Source organism: Homo sapiens, chromosome 15 (assembly GCF_000001405.40).
Source record: "Homo sapiens chromosome 15, GRCh38.p14 Primary Assembly".
In the NCBI taxonomy this organism is placed as follows: Eukaryota; Metazoa; Chordata; class Mammalia; order Primates; family Hominidae; genus Homo; species Homo sapiens.
In genome coordinates this window covers 70,713,990-70,733,801 of record NC_000015.10, presented here as the reverse complement: position 1 = coordinate 70,733,801, position 19,812 = coordinate 70,713,990, and the positions used below count along the sequence as shown (strand labels likewise).

Genomic DNA, 19,812 nt, shown 5'->3' with positions numbered 1-19,812 from the left:
ATATCTCTGTTTTGGTACCAGTACCATGCTGTTTTGGTTACTGTAGCCTTGTAGTATAGTTTGAAGTCAGGTAGTGTGATGCCTCCAGCTTTGTTCTTTTGGCTTAGGATTGACTTGGCAATGCGGGCTCTTTTTTGGTTCCATATGAACTTTAAAGTAGTTTTTTCCAATTCTGTGAAGAAAGTCATTGGTAGCTTGATGGGGATGGCATTGAATCTGTAAATTACCTTGGGCAGTATGGCCATTTTCACGATATTGATTCTTCCTACCCATGAGCATGGAATGTTCTTCCATTTGTTTGTCTCCTCTTTTATTTCCTTGAGCAGTGGTTTGTAGTTCTCCTTGAAGAGGTCCTTCACATCCCTTGTAAGTTGGATTCCTAGGTATTTTATTCTCTTTGAAGCAATTGTGAATGGGAGTTCACCCATGATTTGGCTCTCTGTTTGTCTGTTGTTGGTGTATAAGAATGCTTGTGATTTTTGTACATTGATTTTGTATCCTGAGACTTTGCTGAAGTTGCTTATCAGCTTAAGGAGATTTTGGGCTGAGACGATGGGGTTTTCTAGATAAACAATCATGTCGTCTGCAAACAGGGACAATTTGACTTCCTCTTTTCCTAATTGAATACCCTTTATTTCCTTCTCCTGCCTGATTGCCCTGGCCAGAACTTCCAACACTATGTTGAATAGGAGCGGTGAGAGAGGGCATCCCTGTCTTGTGCCAGTTTTCAAAGGGAATGCTTCCAGTTTTTGCCCATTCAGTATGATATTGGCTGTGGGTTTGTCATAGATAGCTCTTATTATTTTGAAATACGTCCCATCAATACCTAATTTATTGAGAGTTTTTAGCATGAAGGGTTGTTGAATTTTGTCAAAGGCTTTTTCTGCATCTATTGAGATAATCATGTGGTTTTTGTCTTTGGCTCTGTTTATATGCTGGATTACATTTATTGATTTGCGTATATTGAACCAGCCTTGCATCCCAGGGATGAAGCCCACTTGATCATGGTGGATAAGCTTTTTGATGTGCTGCTGGATTCGGTTTGCCAGTATTTTATTGAGGATTTTTGCATCAATGTTCATCAAGGATATTGGTCTAAAATTCTCTTTTTTGGTTGTGTCTCTGCCCGGCTTTGGTATCAGAATGATGCTGGCCTCATAAAATGAGTTAGGGAGGATTCCCTCTTTTTCTATTGATTGGAATAGTTTCAGAAGGAATGGTACCAGTTCCTCCTTGTACCTCTGGTAGAATTCGGCTGTGAATCCATCTGGTCCTGGACTCTTTTTGGTTGGTAAACTATTGATTATTGCCACAATTTCAGAGCCTGTTATTGGTCTATTCAGAGATTCAACTTCTTCCTGGTTTAGTCTTGGGAGAGTGTATGTGTCGAGGAATGTATCCATTTCTTCTAGATTTTCTAGTTTATTTGCGTAGAGGTGTTTGTAGTATTCTCTGATGGTAGTTTGTATTTCTGTGGGATCGGTGGTGATATCCCCTTTATCATTTTTTATTGTGTCTATTTGATTCTTCTCTCTTTTTTTCTTTATTAGTCTTGCTAGCGGTCTATCAATTTTGTTGATCCTTTCAAAAAACCAGCTCCTGGATTCATTGATTTTTTGAAGGGTTTTTTGTGTCTCTATTTCCTTCAGTTCTGCTCTGATTTTAGTTATTTCTTGCCTTCTGCTAGCTTTTGAATGTGTTTGCTCTTGCTTTTCTAGTTCTTTTAATTGTGATGTTAGGGTGTCAATTTTGGATCTTTCCTGCTTTCTCTTGTAGGCATTTAGTGCTATAAATTTCCCTCTACACACTGCTTTGAATGCGTCCCAGAGATTCTGGTATGTGGTGTCTTTGTTCTCGTTGGTTTCAAAGAACATCTTTATTTCTGCCTTCATTTCGTTATGTACCCAGTAGTCATTCAGGAGCAGGTTGTTCAGTTTCCATGTAGTTGAGCGGCTTTGAGTGAGATTCTTAATCCTGAGTTCTAGTTTGATTGCACTGTGGTCTGAGAGATAGTTTGTTATAATTTCTGTTCTTTTACATTTGCTGAGGAGAGCTTTACTTCCAACTATGTGGTCAATTTTGGAATAGGTGTGGTGTGGTGCTGAAAAAAATGTATATTCTGTTGATTTGGGGTGGAGAGTTCTGTAGATGTCTATTAGGTCTGCTTGGTGCAGAGCTGAGTTCAATTCCTGGGTATCCTTGTTGACTTTCTGTCTCGTTGATCTGTCTAATGTTGACAGTGGGGTGTTAAAGTCTCCCATTATTAATGTGTGGGAGTCTAAGTCTCTTTGTAGGTCACTCAGGACTTGCTTTATGAATCTGGGTGCTCCTGTATTGGGTGCATAAATATTTAGGATAGTTAGCTCCTCTTGTTGAATTGATCCCTTTACCATTATGTAATGGCCTTCTTTGTCTCTTTTGATCTTTGTTGGTTTAAAGTCTGTTTTATCAGAGACTAGGATTGCAACCCCTGCCTTTTTTTGTTTTCCATTGGCTTGGTAGATCTTCCTCCATCCTTTTATTTTGAGCCTATGTGTGTCTCTGCACGTGAGATGGGTTTCCTGAATACAGCACACTGATGGGTCTTGACTCTTTATCCAACTTGCCAGTCTGTGTCTTTTAATTGCAGAATTTAGTCCATTTATATTTAAAGTTAATATTGTTATGTGTGAATTTGATCCTGTCATTATGATGTTAGCTGGTGATTTTGCTCATTAGTTGATGCAGTTTCTTCCTAGTCTCAATGGTCTTTACATTTTGGCATGATTTTGCAGTGGCTGGTACCGGTTGTTCCTTTCCATGTTTAGCGCTTCCTTCAGGAGCTCTTTTAGGGCAGGCCTGGTGGTGACAAAATCTCTCAACATTTGCTTGTCTATAAAGTATTTTATTTCTCCTTCACTTATGAAGCTTAGTTTGGCTGTATATGAAATTCTGGGTTGAAAATTCTTTTCTTTAAGAATGTTGAATATTGGCCCCCACTCTCTTCTGGCTTGTAGGGTTTCTGCCGAGAGATCCGCTGTTAGTCTGATGGGCTTTCCTTTGAGGGTAACCCGACCTTTCTCTCTGGCTGCCCTTAACATTTTTTCCTTCATTTCAACTTTGGTGAATCTGACAATTATGTGTCTTGGAGTTGCTCTTCTCGAGGAGTATCTTTGTGGTGTTCTCTGTATTTCCTGAATCTGAACGTTGGCCTGCCTTGCTAGATTGGGGAAGTTCTCCTGGATAATATCCTGCAGAGTGTTTTCCAACTTGGTTCCATTCTCCACATCACTTTCAGGTACACCAATCAGACGTAGATTTGGTCTTTTCACATAGTCCCATATTTCTTGGAGGCTTTGCTCATTTCTTTTTATTCTTTTTTCTCTAAACTTCCCTTCTCGCTTCATTTCATTCATTTCATCTTCCATTGCTGATACCCTTTCTTCCAGTTGATCGCATCGGCTCCTGAGGCTTCTGCATTCTTCACGTAGTTCTCGAGCCTTGGTTTTCAGCTCCATCAGCTCCTTTAAGCACTTCTCTGTATTGGTTATTCTAGTTATACATTCTTCTAAATTTTTTTCAAAGTTTTCAACTTCTTTGCCTTTGGTTTGAATGTCCTCCCGTAGCTCAGAGTAATTTGATCGTCTGAAGCCTTCTTCTCTCAGCTCGTCAAAATCATTCTCCATCCAGCTTTGTTCTGTTGCTGGTGAGGAACTGCGTTCCTTTGGAGGAGGAGAGGCGCTCTGCGTTTTAGAGTTTCCAGTTTTTCTGTTCTGTTTTTTCCCCATCTTTGTGGTTTTATCTACTTTTGGTCTTTGATGATGGTGATGTACAGATGGGTTTTCGGTGTAGATGTCCTTTCTGGTTGTTAGTTTTCCTTCTAACAGACAGGACCCTCAGCTGCAGGTCTGTTGGAATACCCTGCCGTGTGAGGTGTCAGTGTGCCCCTGCTGGGGGGTGCCTCCCAGTTAGGCTGCTCGGGGGTCAGGAGTCAGGGACCCACTTGAGGAGGCAGTCTGCCCGTTCTCAGATCTCCAGCTGCGTGCTGGGAGAACCACTGCTCTCTTCAAAGCTCAGATGGAAATGCAGAAATCACCGTCTTCTGCGTCGCTCACGCTGGGAGCTGTAGACCGGAGCTGTTCCTATTCGGCCATCTTGGCTCCTCCCTCCACAGCTTTTTCTTGTTGAGAATTTTTAACCACTCTCTGAAGCTGAGTCAAGTTACAGAGCCGAGCAAAATACAGGGGTAGAGGAAGCAGCAGAAAGGCCCTGGGAGCTCGGTGGGTCCCTTCACAGGCGGCGGAAGGGTTGTTCCCATCTTTATGTCCATGTGTACTCAGTGTTTAGTTCCCACTGGTAAGCAGGAACATGTGGGATTTGGTTTTCTGTTTCTGCATTAATTTGCGTGGGATAGTGGCCTCTGATTGCATCCAAGCTGCAGCAAAGACATGGTTTCATTCTTTTTTTATGGCTAAGTAGTATTCCATGGTATATATGTACCACATTTTCTTTTTCCAGTCCACTCTTGATGGGACCTAAGTTGCTTCCATGTTTTTGCTATTGTGAATAGTGCTGCAGTGAACATACAAGTACGGTGTCTTTTGGGTGGAATGATTTATTTTCCTTTGAGTATATACCCAGTAATGGGATTGCTGGGTTGAATGGTAGTTCTATTTTCAGTTCTTTGAGAAATCTCCAAACTGCTTTCCACAGTGGCTGAACTAATTTACATTCCCACCAGCAGTATATATGAATTACCTTTTCTCCATAGCCTTACCAATATCTGTTATTTTTTAACTTTATAATAATAGCCATTCTGATTGGTGTGAGATGGTAACTCATTGCAGTTTTTGATTTGCATTTCTCTGATTAGTGTTGCTGAGCATTTTTTCATATGCTTGGTGGCCACTTGTATGTGTTCTTTTGAGAGGTGTCGGTTCATGTTCTCTGCCCACTTTTTAATAGGGTTATTTGTTTTTTGCTTGTTGCATTAAGTTACATATAGATTTAGTATATTAAACCTTTGTTGGATACATAGTTTGTGACTATTTTCTCCTGTTCTGTAGGTTGTGTGTTTACTCTCTTGAGTTTCTTTTACTGTGTGGAAGCTCTTTAGCTTAATTAGGTCCCACTTTTCAATTTTCGCTTTCTTTGCAGTTGCCTTTGAGGACTTAGTTGTAAATGTTTTGCCGAGGCTGATTTCCAGAATGCTATTTCCTAGGTTTTTTTTCTATGTTTTTTTTTTTTCTTTTTTTTTTTGAGATGGGGTTTCGCTCTTGTTTCCCAGGCTGGAGTGCAGTGGTGCAATCTCGGCTCACCGCAACCTCCGCCTCCTGGGTTCAAGGGATTCTCCTGCCTCAGCCTCCTGAGTAGCTGGGGTTACAGGCATGCACCACCACGCCTGGCTAATTTTGTATTTTTAGTAGAGATGGGGTTTCTCCATGTTGGTCAGGCTGGTCTCGAACTCTCGATCTCAGGTGATCTGCCTGCCTTGGCCTCCCAAAGTGCTGGGATTACAGGCGTGAGCCGCTGCGCCTGGCCTCTTCTATGATTTTTATAGTTTTAGATCTTACATTTAAGTCTTTAATCCATCTTGAGTTCATTTTTGTATATGGTGAAAGGTAGGGGTCTAGTTTCATTCTTCTACATATGGCTAGCCAGTTATCCCAGTAGTATTTAATGAATAGGAAGTCCTTTCCCTGTTGCTTATTTTTGTCAGCCTTGTCAAAGATCAGATGTTTATAGGAGTGTGGCTTTATTTCTGGGTTCTATCTTCTGTTCCCCATTAGTCTGTGTGTCTGTTTTTGTACCAGTATCAATGCTGTTTTGGTTAGTTTGGTTAGTGTTATGCACCAGGTTATTTTGATGAAAACGGTTTGTCTACTACACTTTGAGCTGCTCTGTGAAGAGCCTTAGGTGGTTCAGGGAAAGAATATAGGCAGTGAAGAGGCCCTACTTTCAAACAGAGCCACCCTTCTTTCTTTCTTCATTTCAAGGCTTTTAAGAAAATTTTTAAAATTAGAAAGGTTTGAAAACCACTGATTACTGGCTATATTAAGTAGAAGTTCTAGAACAGTTTAAGATATTTAGTAATTAATACATTAAACATCACTGCCTTATGTTTATTTGGTGTTTTTAGTTTTTGAGAACAGTTTCACAATTATTTTAATTTTAACCAATTAAACCTGAACGAGACAAATAAAAAGTTTAATAGGAATTGAAATATTTCTACAATGATGAGGCATTTTATATAATTTATAAATAGGTTGTTAATGTAAACGTATCTACTCCATGGACAGTAAAGTTAATAAAAATGTCTATTTAAAATAGAACCAATCAATTTTAAAGTGCTTCTTATTTTTTATGCAGTATGCAGTATCAAGTAATTTTAAAGTGAACTATTTTTGCTTTTTGATTATCTATTTTCTGGTTATACAGCAATTTTTAATTTAATAAAATGAGAAAAAAGTTATAGGATATTGTGGTTTATTAAATAATATTTTTGTGATTTTTGGAAACATGCATTAATTATAAATTTTTCTGTCATAGATTACTTTCTCTTCTCCCCAAAATATGCCAGGGAAGAGGAATGGGCGGAAGGAGGTTTTCCTTTTTATATACCCTTCTTTATACTGTTGGATCTTTTTAAAAGCTGCGATTATGTATTCCTTATATAATCTAAAAAGCATTAAATTTAACCCTTAAGAAAAAGCTGCATATTTTTCTAACCTTCTTATACTACAGCCTTATACTTAAAATGAAAGGAATTTAGAGTTTAAGATGAAGGCAAAAAAGAATGTTTCCAGCTGATAGTGAGAGTGGAAGAGCATGTGGATTAGAGCTCTGAGCAGCGTGCATGGCTGAGCACTGGCCACATCACCACTCATCCTCTGCTTGAGATTCCCAGAACAGAATTGACTCCCAGGCCACCCTCTAGCTCCTGACTTTATAGGGCTCAGCTCAGTTGTGGTTCCCATTATTTCCTGTGAGATTTCCTTTGTGATTCTTTGTATAACTTTGTGATAAATCACAAATAAATTGGACAGGTACTTGTTCCTTCCAAATAAAGGAGGCTGAACAGAACAATATTTATTGTAGAAAATTTAGAAGGTACCGAACATATAAAGAAAAAATGTCTTCTCTAATACCACATCCCATAGCTGTTAATTTTTCGGCTATTCCCTTTCATTAGTATTCTGAGTGTTTATTTCTTAACATGTGATCTTAAAACCTTTTCAGGATGCTGAGCTTTGTGATCTTATTTCTATTTCAGAAGAAAAAGTAAAGCCAAATGAAATGAAAATAAGTGGAGAAAGTCGTGAATACATATTTTTAAGATCTGTATTTTAGAGAGATTTAGTTTTATACACGAATAGCAAAGAATATGCTTCTAATTCTAAGCTAATGAGAAAATCAGTGCTGTTTACATTTTTTTTTAAACAATTTCCTCCATGCTGCTCAGATATACATCTTGTAAAAGTTTGAGAAGTTTTGTTGGGGAAGAGCCAATCCTTTGTTGCCAGGTGAAGGCCTTTTGTCATCTTGGTAAATTTACCTTATGCTTATTTAAGCAGAAACTCAATCTTGATTGGATTTGGGGGTGCTGAGTTACCCTGAAAGTTCACTGATGTATTAAATCATTTTATTAATGTATAATGAGAACTAAATAGCTGGTTTAGGGGCTGGATACTTCCATCCAGTCACTTCCTGTAGGAAAGCAAGTTTGTTGGAAGCTTGCTTAGAGAAGATGCAAGCAGAACAGTGGGAATGAATAAGATTCAGATGTTTAAAGTCATCCCATTTTTATTTATTTATTTATTTGGATACATTATATTTGTATATATTTATGGGGTACCTGTGAAATTTTGCTACATTCATGGAGTGGGTAATGATCAAGTCAGGATATTTAGGGCATCCATCACCTCAGTGTTTATCATTTCTATGTGTTGGGTACATTTCAGGTTCTTTCTTCTAGCAAAGTTATCTTGATGACTTGGTGTCGCCTTCATCTTCCTTGGATTGTTTCTGCATGGCCAGTGCCAGAATTCTTGAAAACCTTCCTTCTTAATATACCTCTGCTTTCACTCAGGTACATTTGTATCCCCACTCTTGGTTTTTATTTTTTGGTTCAATGATAACATAGGAAACATATTATTAATAAGATCACAGTTCTATCTGCCTTCCTAGAGACTGGAGAATTAAGAGATCCACCATGAGAGGTCCTCCTTAAGGTTAGAAGGACACTGTGAAAGTTGAAAGATTTTCTTTTCAGACAGGGAGAAGGGAAGTTTTCCTAAAGTATTGGCTACTTCCTTTCACAACCATTGATGGCAAATGTTCCCTTTGACAATTAAAATGACTATGCTTTTCTTATATTACTGAGTAGTGCCATATCCTAAGGAACCTGGGAGGTCTGTGGACATTCTTGGTCAGAGGAAAGAGTGCTAAGCTTGATTTATCCATATTCACCATGGGAGGGAGGGCACATATAGTACCAATATTTACTTTTCCTGGACAAGATGATCCTCAAGGATTTTATTCTATTATAAATATGAGCTATATTTTAAACTCTATTTTCCTTTAACCTAACAGGGGAAGAAATTAATTTTTAGATTTTTTATATCATTATGCAGCTTTTGGGGAAAAATAATTGCTGTTTTGGAGTCATAGGATTTACCAAAAATCTATCAGATAAATCTATCAAATATTCCATCAAACGAAGATTTTTTTTTTTTTGAGATCTTGCTGTGTTGCCCAGGCTAGAGTGCAGCAGCATGGTGATGGCTCACTGCAGCCTTAACCTCCTTTGCTTAAGTGATCCTCCCAACTTAGCCTCTGGTGTAGCTAGGACTACAAGGTGCTTGCCACCATACCTGGCTAGTTAAATTTTTTTTTTTTTTTTTGTAGAGACAGAGTCTTGCTATGTTGCTGAGGCTGGTCTCAAACTTCTGGGCAAGAGTATTGCAAACTTTGTAACTTTCTTTGGTTGGGGATTTCTAGATATCTTTTTTTTTCTGGCTTGGTGCAGATGAATAGAGAACAAAGCCATTTGGGATGAAAATTTACTATGTGCTTGGGGATGCCTACTATATAGAGAAAGAGTTTAATCTATAAAAAGGTCACACTCTTTGAGGCAATTATAAGTGTGCCTTGGTTTAAAATAGTTCAGTGCATACCTTCCAAGGAAGCCATGAAGCACACCTTTTAGCGAGTGATTGTTAGCTGTACTAGTTCATTCACCAGTTTTCCTTGAAAAGTAAAACTGTGTAGTACAGTTAAAAACACTCCATTTTCAGACACATTTTCAGTTAGATATTTGCTACAGAAAGCAAACCACATATGTACTAAAATTTGAAAAAAAATTAAAACTGAGATGTTTAAAGGACTATCATTATATATTTAGGTTCTGTGCTCTTAAAGTTTCTTCTCTGAAGGGTGTAACTTTTTCTGTGAGTATGGGTTAAATATATTTCTGAGTATTATTTTCTATCAGCCTTTATGAACACTAGATAGCCTGAGAAGAAATATGGAGCATAGTATTTGGAATATTATTTTACATTTCCATGACCATCTTTTATGTGAAGTAGGTTTAGAAAGAATTCTTTAATTGCAGTATTTGTTAATTTCAGTTTATTCAGTTGCTCAACAGATACTTAAGTGCCTACTCTATGTAGACAAATAGAGTGCTAAGCTCGAACATGTACTCCTTGCTCTTGAGAAATTTGTAGACAGAAAAGTGGGGGGAGACAGGATTAGAAAGCTAACACACTTAAAATATAAAGCTACAGCTCTATGTAATAAGTGTACGAAGTAGAGATATACCAGAATATATAACAGGGAGGGCCTGACAAAATCTGGGGAGTCAGAGGAAGTTTCTTTGAAAAAGTTCAAGGCCAGGCGTGGTGGCTCACGCCTGTAATCCCAGCACTTTGGGAGGCCGAGGCGGGTGGATCATGAGGTCAGGAGATCGAGACCATCCTGGCCAACATGATGAAACCCCGTCTCTACTAAAAATACAAAAAATTAGCCGGGTGTGGTGGCAGGCACCTGTAGTCCCAGCTACCCGGGAGGCTGAGGCAGGAGAATGGCGTGAACCTGGGAGGCGGAACTTGCAGTGAGCCGAGATCACGCCACTGGACTCCAGCCTGGGCGACAGAGCGAGACTCCGTCTCAAAAAAAAAAAAAAAAGGAAAAAGTTGAGATGAGATCTGAAAAATGAGTTAGGATTAAGAAGCACAAAGGGAGTAGCACTGTACCTTGGTACTCTGTGAGGGAACTTGGTAATTTTGAAGAACTTCGCTATGAAAAGAGATTGGAGGCTAGAGGGAGAGTACCCATTTCAAGATTATACTTTAGAGGTAAGGAGGGGTGAGACCATGGAGGATCTTAGACGTCATTAAGGACTTTGGTCTTAAGAACAGTAAGTCTATTATAAGAGTATCCCTGAGTAGCTGGGACTACCGATGTGTACCACCACGCCTGGCTAATTTTTTGTGAAGACAAAGTCTACTGTGTTGCCCAGGCTGGTCTCAAATGCCTGAGCTCCAGCGACCCTCCATTCTAGGCCTTCCAAAGTTTAGGATTACAGGCGTGAGCCGCTGCACCTGCTGTTTACTGTTTTTCTGTGTCAGTACTGTGGAGCATTTTCAGAGTACACATATATTAACCCTAACTCTAATAACAAATGAAGTGGTTTTTATTAGCATTATTTTTAAAATGAGGAAACTGACGCTCAGGGGGACTAAGTAACTTGATCAAGGTAAACTAGCAAACAAATGTAAAGTCAGGAACTCTGTCCAGGTTTTTCTGATGTCAAATCCCTGTTGGTTAATAGAAATTCACTCAAAAATTGTCCATTTTTTTCTTTCTGGACAAATTCTATATTCAGATAGGTTCTTAAAGATGTTTTTAGTAATGATAAGTTAGTGCTTCTGAGTGGTGCCACCTTAATTTTTTTCAAACTGAATTGAAGAAAAAAATAGCTTCTCTTAGTTGCCACCAGAGGGAGCCAGAAAGATTGAGATTTTAATGAGCTTTGAAATGCTCAGTCAGGAATATTCATCAGTAAGCAATTCCAGTGAACTCATATTAAGAATATTCCTTAAAGTGGAATATGTGTATAGTATGTTCTCATTTTGACTTAAAAGTTTAATGTATGTCTAGATATTGAAAAGAAGTTTGAAAAGACGTATAACAAAAAATAAAGTTACTGTTTTAATGGTGGTTTTGCAGGCCAGATCCCAGCACTTTGGGAGGCCAGGAGGATTGCTTGAGCTCAGTAGTTCAGGACCAGTCTGGGCCACATAGCAAGACCTCTTCTTTACTAAAAATAAAAAAATTAGCTCAGTGTGGTGGCACATGTCTGTAGTCCCAGCTACTCAGGAGGCTGAGGTGAGAGGCTCATTTGAGCCTAGGTGATCGAGGCCATGATGAGCTACTGTGGTGCCATAGCACTCCAGACTGGGCAACACAGTGAGATCCTGTCTCAAAAAAAAAAAAAAGTGATTTTGCTAGATTGTCTTTTCCCTCTTTCTTCCCTCTTGCCTTCCTTTCCTCTTTTTTTGAGTTTGTATTAGTATTATTTTTCTACTATATGTTATTGTATAATAAAAATGACATTTATAGTAAATATAAGGAGTTTGAAGGCCGTTAAGGGGTTTATAAAGTGTTTAAAATGCCCAAACTGCATCACCCATCATTTGAATGCATTATTAATTTGCCTGGGAAATATTTTTCATATCGAAAAGGCCATCCCTTATCTGAGTTTTCAGAATTCTGAATTAGTATAGTCTAAATTTAAGAGAACTTACTGAATAGAGATACAGAATGTTTTTAAATAGGATTCAGACTTAGAACTGAGTTCATGGAATCACCTTTCTTTTGCATCTAATGGGCAAATGGTATAAAATCAGGTAACCACTTTAATTGAATGTTTACCAGATAATCTGTACCCTTGTTTTTTGACAGCATGGTATAGAAAAAATTTAAAGTTTAGAATTAGATAATCTCAGGTTTGAGTTTTAACTATTCCTTGGTAACTGTGTAATGTTGGCAGGTGACTGAACTTACTCTAAGTTTCTTTTCTTTTTATGAAGATGGTAATAAAAGCCTGTGTTGATTATAGTTGAGGACTGTGCAAAGCGCTGGGTTAATAAAAGTTTATTAGGGTTGCAACTGTAATTTTTTTTTTTTTTTTAAGATGGAGTCTCGCTCTGTTGCCCAGGCTGGAGTGCAGTGGCGTGATCTCGGCTCACTGCAAGCTCTGCCTCCTGGGTTCACGCCATTCTCCTGCCTCAGCCTCCCGAGTAGCTGGAACTACAGGCTCCCGCCACCACACCCGGCTAATTTTTTTGTATTTTTCAGTAGAGACGGGGTTTCACCGTGTTAGCCAGGATGGTCTCGATCTCCTGACCTTGTGATCCGCCCACCTCGGCCTCCCAGAGTGCTGGGATTACAGGCGTGAGCCACCGCGCCCATCCGCAACTGTAGTTTTATATTTTGCCACCCATCACATCCAACAACCAAACTGAACTGATTTATCCTTTAAAGAATCTATATTTACCCACACCCATAGCCATTCTAGAAACAGAATGGGAATGGGTGTTCTTTACCTCACTAACTGTACTCATTTTGCCACCTAAGGCATCTCACACTATATTCAACTACCAGAATTATACTTGTATGTAACGCCATTCCTCCCCCTTTAACCTTTTGTTTCATTTGATTTCTGTATTAATCAACTTCACTGCAGAAACAATCTCCAAATCTTGGTGGTTTGTCAGCATTATGGCACATGTAGGCTTTGGGCTGACTGTGCAAGTGGCTGCACTCCACATTTTCATCCTAAGATCCAGAATGATGGAGCATCCTCTGTCTCTACCTGCCATTTTCATGGTAGTGAGCAGAATTCAGGGCTGGCTGTAACTTGTGATACTGTTAAATCTTCTGCTCAGGAGTGGAGTACTTCATGACTGCCAAAGCATGTCACATGGTCAGGTGCAGAGTCAGTGAGGTGCAGGGGCGCATATTCTTCAAAGACAGGGCTGGTAAATACCAAACAGTAATATAATCTACCACAGTTTGTCCTCTTGATCACAAATATTGACTTACTTTGCTTCGGCATACAAAATATATTTATCTCTTCCTCAAGGAAAATACTCTAAGAATTTCCTTCAATAACATTAGTCTTGAAGTCTAAACCTCTTTAGGATTTCTACGTCTTTTATCTATGTAGATTTTCTTGATCCAGAGATCAATGAACTAAAATACCAGTTCTGCCATCCATCTCTCCCAGTAGTGGAACAGAGACAGGATATCCACAATAAACATTCCTGTTAAGAAAGGGGAAGAATGGGTGGGGCATGGTGGCTCATGCCTGTAGTAGCACTTTGGGAGGCTGAGGTGGGAAGATCACTTGAGCCCAGGAGTTTGAGGCTGCAGTTAGTCATGATCATACAACTGCACTCCAGCTTGGGCAACAAAGCAAGACACTGTGTATTAGTCCATTCACACATTGCTATAAAGAAATACCAGAGAATGGGTAATTTATAAAGAAAAGAGGTTTAATTGGCTCACTGTTCTGCAGGCTGGACAGGAAACATAGTGGCATTTGCTTCTGGAGAGGCCTCAGTAAACTACAATCAGGGCAGAAGGTGAAGGGGAAGCAGGCATATCTTACATGGCTGGAGCAGGAGGAAGAGAAAGAGGGGAGGTGCTGCATGCTTTAAACAACCAGATCTCATGAGAACAGCACCAAAGGGAGAAATCTGCCTCCATGATCCAGTCACCTCTCACCAGGCTGACCTCCAACATTGGGGATTACAATTCAACATGAGATTTGGGTGGGGACGCTGATCCAAACCATATCACCCTGTATCTCAAACAATTTATAAATAAATAAGGGGGAAGAAAGGAAGCACATAACAATTGTGGGTCCTTAGCAATGAAAATCTTACTGGATAAATGTAGGAAGGGTAACTTTTCTTGGCCCTAGGGGATTTTCCTCGATTATTCACCCAGTTTGTTGTTTTCCATGATTCTTGGGTGGGTACTCTGTAAGGTGTTTCCTTTAATATATCATTCTTGTCTACTTTTGAATGGAGTATTGGAGGATATGCTCTTCTTGGTCAGGGAGTGTTATAAGGGTTGAACACCTTTCTCAACCCACTTCTTGCCTATAGAAAATCGAGGGCCCAAAGGTAATCTAGAAGAATAATGTTTCCTTAATTCAAACAGAATGATGTTTTGGTGGTTGTATTTTTTCTTTTTATCTATTTGATTTCAGTCAGAGCCATGTGCCAGTAGCTACATCCTCAACTCGTTGAGATGTGCATTTTATTTTGGTTTTCAGTACAGGTATCTTGAGCTTATTGAGCTTCCGTGGGTCCACATTCTTAGTCTGCCTGTCGGGGGAATCCCCCACCAAGCCATTTTGTTCCACTGAGTGGATTTACTGGGGGCAGCATTAATTCAAAGGTCTTAGACACTATGATGGCTACACTTATGATTTGGTCTTTGCCCTGGGTTTATGTCATAATTGGCCTTTGTAAACCCTTTTTACTTGTTGGAAATGGGAAATAGTTGGGAGTTTCTACCTTGCAAGTCCAGGAATTTCAGGTTCTCTCTTTTTTTATCCTTACTTGCACATAGGCCCCTTTTCTGAGCCTCTTCTCTTCTCTTCTCTTCTGTTCTCTTCTCTTCTCCTTCTCCTTCTCTTCATCTTCTCTTTCTCTTTCTTCCTTCCTCCCTCTTTCCTTCCTCCCTTCTTTCTACCCTTCCTTCCTCCCTTCCTTCCTCCTTCCTATGACTGGGGGATTCCTTTTTCCTTTAATGAGCTAATCTAATGGTACTTTATTAAATCTACTTAATGACAACTAAAGTTCAGCTTTTATAATCTTTTTGCCAAGTTATTCAATTTTTTATGTGACAGTTTTATTTACCACCACTTTATGTGGGTTGCTATTTTTCCATTCTCCAGTAACAGTTTTCTTGCTTTCTGCCACCTGGTTTCAAAGCCTATATCACATATTTTAAAATTATTTTTGGTGGTAGCTGTTGTTAAGGTAGCACCCCACTTTTGGTACCAAATTTTGCAGTGTTCAGCCATGTTATAGTAATTACCTCCAAATTTAAGTGGCTTCTCAAGATAACAAACTTATATTTCCCACTAACTTTATATTATAGACCGTGATTCAACTTCAGTTCTGCCCTGACCTGTGGCTCTGCTCCAGACTTTTTCTCATTTGGGAACCAAGGCTGAAGGAACAGGCCTCGTAAGATATGTGCCAGTCTCTTCACAAAGTACTACAGCAAGAAGGCTGGCTGTAACTCAGATTGCTGCTTAAAGCTTTTGGTAACATGCATTGTACCTCACTTCTATTCACATTCTATTGGCCAAACATATCACATGGCTGATCCCCAAAGCAATAACCTAGGGATGTCAACTCCTAACACACACACACACACACACACACACACACACACACACACACACACACATTCTCTCTCTCTCTCCCTCTCCCTCTCTCCCTTCCTCTCTCCCTCTCTCCCCCTCCTCCCCCTCCCTCCCCCCCGTTCCTCTGTCTCTCTCTCTCACCTTGTAAGGAAGCAGGAGAATAAATAATTTCAAATAGTAATACAATATATCATAACTTTCTGTTGATGTACCAAAAAATCAGAGTATATCCCTTTTTAAATGTAAGGATATACTAACCTAGTATGTAAATCAGGGTTATCCAGAGAAATAAAACTAATAGGATATATATGTGTGTGTGTGTGTGTGTGTGTGTGTGTGTATAAAGAAATTTATTTTAAGGAATTGGCTGATGTGATTATGGTACTGGCAAATCTGAAATTTGTAGAGCAGGCAGGGAAGTCAGGCAGGATTTTCATGTTACAGTCTTGAGGTAGAATTGCTTCTTCTCTGGGAATCCTGTTTTTGCCCTTAAGCCCTTTAAGGGATTGAGGCCTATCTACATTATAGAGGGTAATCTCAACTGATTATAGATGTTAATCACATCTACAAAATACCTTCACAGTTACATCTGTGCTTGTATCTGTCCAAACAGCTGGGCACCATAGCAGAACCAAACTGACACAAAATTTAACCATCACATATACATTGTGCAATTTTGCAGATAGTAAAATATGAGTATGGAGAGTACTTTCTGGTAGGTCTTATGAGAAGGCAGCATGCAGATTAGCTTGATCAGAGCCAATAAACTAGGTGTCTTCTTGCCAAAGTTCAGTGAGTACCTGAAACAAGGGTTGGCAAACTGTGGCCTACTGCCCATTTTTATAAATAAAGCTTTAGTGGAAAACAGCCATGCTTATTCATTACATATTGCCTATGGCTGTTTTAGTTTACAGTGGCAGAGTTGAATAGTTAAAACAGAAACCACATGGCCTGCAAAGTCTAAAATACTTACTATGTAATCTTTTACTGAAAAAGTTTGCCAAACTCTAAAGGTTACACATAGAGAAGGCTCTTATGGTTCTTGCTCTGTTATGGTCCATGCCTAGTTTAGTGTTTCCATTCAAGTGTGAATGTATACTGATTAGACATTACAGTAGTAGCAGTGTTTCATTGTTTGTTTGTTTTTTAGACAGAGTTTTGCTCTTGTTGCTCAGGTTGGAGTGCAATAGTGTGATCTCGGCTCACCGCAACCTCCGCCTCCTGGGTTCAAGCAATTCGCCTGCCTCAGCCTCCCGAGTAGCTGGGATTACAGGCATGCGCCACCACATCTGGCTAATTTTGTATTTTTGATAGAGACGGGATTTCTCCATATTGGTTAGACTGGTCTCAAACTCCTGACCTCAGGTGATCTGCCCGCCTTGGCCTCCCAGAATGCTAGGATTACAAGCATAAGCCACTGTGCCCAGCCATGTTTCATTGTTTGAAGCCACAAATTTATTAATAAAAATTATTAACTGCTTAGTTTTTATTGCATGGCCATTCAGATTGTCTTTTAGATCAGATGCTGAGTTCAGCTTTTATTGATAAAACATAGATGAATACTGTTAGGTTTTAAATGAATACTTGCATATCTTTGGGAAAGAGGAAAAATACTTTTTCTAATAAAATTTTATCAGCATAATATTATTAATATTGTATCTATTTTCCTTCTTTTAGGAGGGTAAAAAGACATTTCTGTTCCCAGCTCATCCCCTATTTTTAGATAATGGATAAAAAAATTATAAACTATTATTTCTCAATTTGGCTGCTCTTATATCTATAAAATTGAATTAGACTACAAGAGGTAAGATGTTTGTATTTCTAAACCAAAGAATACTTGCAGCTGTAGTTAGTGGAGAGAATCTAGGCTCTAGATTCAGGCAGTCCTAGGTTTAAATTTAGTGGCTTATAACAACTATTTTATTTGCTGATGACTTCGTAGGTCAGCAATTTGGGCTGGACTCTGCTACATGGTTGTTCTGCTGGTCTGGTCTGTCTGGGGTCACTCATGTGGCTGCAGTCGTCTGGTGGCTGCACGAGGACTGGATGGTCTAAAATGGCAGCACTGATAATGTCTGGCACATGATGCTTGCTGGTGTGGCTGGGTGGCTGGGCTCTTTTTCTGTCATGCTCTCCTACCCTCAAGGGGGCTAGCTTGTTCACAGTGTGCTAGCAGCATTCCCAGAGTAGAGCAGAAGCAGCAGGATCTCCTACAAAGGTCACTTCTGCCACATTGTATTTGTCAAATTAAGTTACAAGTCCAGGCCGGATTCAAGGATTCAACGGATGAGGAAATAAATGTCATTTCTTGATGACAGGAGTGGCACAATCACATTGCAAAGGGCTGGGCTTATAGCAGTGAAAGAAATGGATAGTGGCTGCATCATCCACTGCATCATCCACCGCCTTAAATTAGTTCCTTTATATCCCATTTGGAAAGTAGAAATAACAGTTTGACTTAACTTGAAGGGTTCTTCTTCAAGTTTAAGAATTGTGTATATACAACACTTAAGAGGTTTTTTCTAAACAATTTTGAAATATAATCCTTATTTATAATGCTGTGTTTTTATTATAGATCTAAATATGAGAACAAACATTCTTTCTCATTATTAATTTGGCCATGTATTTTTAATATGGGAGACATGTATTAAGACTCACTGGAAGGAAATCCTGTGTGAAATAGCTGTGTTTGGGGGAAAGTTATGCATTGGTGCAGAAGTATTATTCATTTAATAAATAAAAGGAAGAGCAGCTAACTTTTAATATGTTTACAAAAACATATGCTTTCCTGTAACCCTCTGCTTTTATATATATAACCTTATAATTCCCATTTTACATTATAAAAATATTGGCTAATAGTGTAATGTTTGTTTTCAGTTTAGTACTTGAAGAGTCTTTTGAGTTGTAGCGAACCTATTTTTGTTTAATTAATATTTCTTTACAAAGCCAAAGGTACAAAAATATCTTTTGTTTGTTTTTATTGTAATCAAACCCCATCAGAGGCTCTTTAATAAGTGTATCTGTTTTGCCTTTTACTTTGTTGAGAATAAACATAGCTTTCTAAAACTCTCCTGTTTTGAGATACATATCAAACATTGGCAAAAATATTTGTTAAAATTCACCGTAACTATTACTGTGTTCATTGGTATATATAGGGATAGAAGGCACAGTGACCCTCCTTGGTTTTTAGCTTTATATTTAAAAAATTTTACTTATGACATTTAGGCTTTTTAAGAACTCTTGTCGAATACACTTTTCAAAAAATACCAAGGAACAAAATTTATTTTTTTCCAAATAACCAATTGTGTAGTATTTTTAAGGGAATATTAAACAAAATCTTATCCAGCCTGAAAGCTTCATTCTTGTATGATACACATTATAATTTGTTCTGTTTAAGATCTATGTATATATTTACTTAGTAATTTAATGCATCTCCTCTTGAGGAAGGGTAAAATAAGTAATATTACAGTACAAATGATAACTGTTAAACGTGGAGAAGCCACATCTTGTCTATATTTTACATAAACTGTTTTAAGTGCCCAGACAGTTCTAATAAAGTAACAAATACCTGCATTAGGGAGGGGCAGACAGTCTGGTATTTGTACAACAGACTAGAATAGAATCAAACCGGGTGGTTAGGAAATCTTGGCAAAGCAGTGGTTTCTGAGTCTTTCTGACTCCAGTTCTTCAATTTTTTTTTTCAGATTTCATGGCCACCTTAGATGCTGAAGAGGTTAGATTTATTATTTAAAACATCATCATCTTTTTTGTCCTTTATATTTTTATGTAGAAGAATCCGGTAAAGTGAGATTAAGCCTGTTCTTGCCTTGGTCAGGAAAATGATTGATAGGATATAATTTTCCCTTTCTTCTGTTTGTTCCATTGAGTCCAAACTACATACTTTCAAATCATACAGTGGAAGGATAACAGAAGTGAATGAGGCATAATTAACTAAGGATAAGGGAAATAATAAAGAGAAGAGAGTCAGGGGTCAGGGAGAAAGAAGCTGGCTGTACAGCTTTTGTTTCCCCGGTATATTTTAACATTCTTTTCCTTTTCTATTACATAAGCTCTAATTTGCTGTTATGTAAGTGGGAGTAATAAATAACCTTTGGACTAAATGGAATGGGGGAAATATTTCTAGCCATCATCAATCCAGTGAACTGTAGAACAGTTCTTAATTGTGCAGCCTAATCTTCAAGGAATGTTTATGCTTCGTAAGCTTTGCTGTCTGCTGTTTTGAATTGTGATAGAGCTTGTGTAACAGAGAATGTTGGTAATTATAGGGTACTATAGAAGCCTGTGTACTTTTTTAATTAGGTGTTTTGGGGGAATTTGCCTAAACATCAATGATGTTTAGTTTTATTTAGGATATATAT

At 38.6% G+C, this 19,812-nt stretch overlaps 1 protein-coding gene across 3 annotated transcripts in view, besides 1 other annotated feature; it reads left to right on the top strand.

Annotated features, from left to right (window-relative positions):
• UACA (uveal autoantigen with coiled-coil domains and ankyrin repeats) overlaps nucleotides 1–19,812 on the top strand; it is a 124,350-nt gene that overhangs the window by 45,102 nt on the left and 59,436 nt on the right. The gene's annotated exons all lie outside the window — the stretch shown is intronic.
• Nucleotides 14,657–15,158: an enhancer, noted in NCBI's record as "H3K27ac hESC enhancer chr15:71010983-71011484 (GRCh37/hg19 assembly coordinates)". NCBI's record gives its function as "activates a minimal SCP1, AML or CMV promoter by ChIP-STARR-seq in naive H9 embryonic stem cells {active_cell/tissue: H9 hESC(naive)}" and the evidence as "EXISTENCE:reporter gene assay evidence [ECO:0000049][PMID:30033119]".